At 35.5% G+C, this 1,781-nt stretch overlaps 1 annotated feature.

Moving 5' to 3' along the window:
* Nucleotides 1,264-1,313: a silencer, noted in NCBI's record as "silent region_16157". NCBI's record gives its function as "represses an Ori minimal core promoter by ATAC-STARR-seq in GM12878 lymphoblastoid cells {active_cell/tissue: GM12878}" and the evidence as "EXISTENCE:reporter gene assay evidence [ECO:0000049][PMID:35858748]".

The raw sequence follows: 1,781 nt of genomic DNA, 5'->3' as shown, positions 1-1,781 counted from the left end.
AATTCATTAATGTAAGTCACTATATTGACTGATCAAACAATTTCAAGGGCAATAATTTGATAATCTTAACAGATGTAGAAAATATTTGACAAAATTTAACATGATGCATAATAAAAACCTTATCATCTAGGAATAGAAGCAAACTGCCTCAACATGGTAGAGAGCATCTACGAAAATGTATCTTTAAAGTCTTATTAAATGGTGAGGCTGAAAGTCATTGTCTAAGATCAGGTAAGCATAAAGATGTACAAACTCATATGTGCATTCAACTTGTACTAAAGGTCTTAATTAACCATTGCAATAACGTTGAGAAATGTCAAAATGCATACAGATTGGAAAGAAAGGAGCTCCTGATGCTCCTAATAGTTATCAGATATTTCTATATTAAAACTCTAGCTATTAATAAAAGCTCCTGAAAAGTTCTATTACGTCACAAAGAATTGAGTCTAATAACGAGAATTTCAGTCATCATGAAATCTTTACACAAGAGACATTTGGAACCAGTTAGGTCTTTTAAGTCATTTTACCCTGAAACTAACAATGTAGTACTTTACAATGTGACTTTTTAAATTTTTATAAATGTAAGGGGTACAAGTGTAGTTTTTTTTACATGGATATATTGCATAGTGATGAAGCCTGGACATTTAGTGTAACCATCACTCGAATAGTGTACGTTGTACCCACTAAATAATTTCTCATTCCCTCACCTCCTCCCACCCTGCTGAGTTTCCAATGTCTACTATTCCACAACTCTATATAAATGTGTACACATTATTTAGCTCCCACTTATAAGTGAGATCATGTGGTATTTGATGTTCTATTTCTGAGTCATTTCACCTTCATCTTAAGCAAGATAATTTTATCTTAAATTCACAACAATTCTATCAGATAGGTAAATTATTATCCTTTTAAGTGAAATAACTCAGAAAGTAAGCTTCTGACAGTGTAGGTGGTCCCCTAAATTGGGGCTTAGCCTGGGAGGATTCTTGGCTTTGCCCAGGAAAGGATTCAAGCGTGAGCAGGTGGTGGTGGACCACAAGTTTTATTGAAGTGGCAGTGTACAGCAGCAGCAGAGGTACTGCTCCTTGCAGAGCAGGGCTACCCCATAGCCAGTGTGCCCAGAGTAGCAGCTCAAAAGCAGTTCTGCAGTCATATTTATATCCACTTTTAGTTATATGCAAATTAAGAGGTAGATTATGCAGTAATTTCTAGAAAAGTGTGGTAACTTTCAGGTTGTTGGGTCATTGCCATGGAAAGGAGTGGTAACTTCCTGGTGTTGCCATGGCAATGATAAACTGACATGACACACTTATGGGCTTGTCTTATAGAAAACTCCTGCCCTGTCCCTGTTTTAGCTAGTACTCAATTTTGTCCAGTGTCTGAGCCCTGCCTCCTACCTCACTTCCTAACACTTCGTGTTTATTCATTGCCTTTCTCTGGCTAGAAGAAGGCACTTCAGGCCTAAAATTATGTCATGAGCCAAAACCAAGACAGAGAGTTTATTTAATGTTTATTTAACAAGCATTATACCCATGATGAACCTGACTGTCTATATTATCATTCTATATTTAGCTAATGTATCTACAGGTATTTGTCTTACATAGAAAAATTATATTAGATAACTAAAATTAAATGCAAAAAATGACTTATTACTGCATATTGTCTACTGGTTACATGCACTTGTACAGGCAAATAGATTTGCTTTCTCTGTTCATCTTTTCTTTTAAAGGCCACATCTCAATATATCTCTCACATATTCAGGTGTATTTTATAAATAGCTC

This window comes from Homo sapiens, chromosome 5 (genome assembly GCF_000001405.40).
Source record: "Homo sapiens chromosome 5, GRCh38.p14 Primary Assembly".
Taxonomy (NCBI): Eukaryota; Metazoa; Chordata; class Mammalia; order Primates; family Hominidae; genus Homo; species Homo sapiens.
Note: the sequence above shows the minus strand (reverse complement) of the source record. Positions and strands in the feature narration are given on the sequence as shown.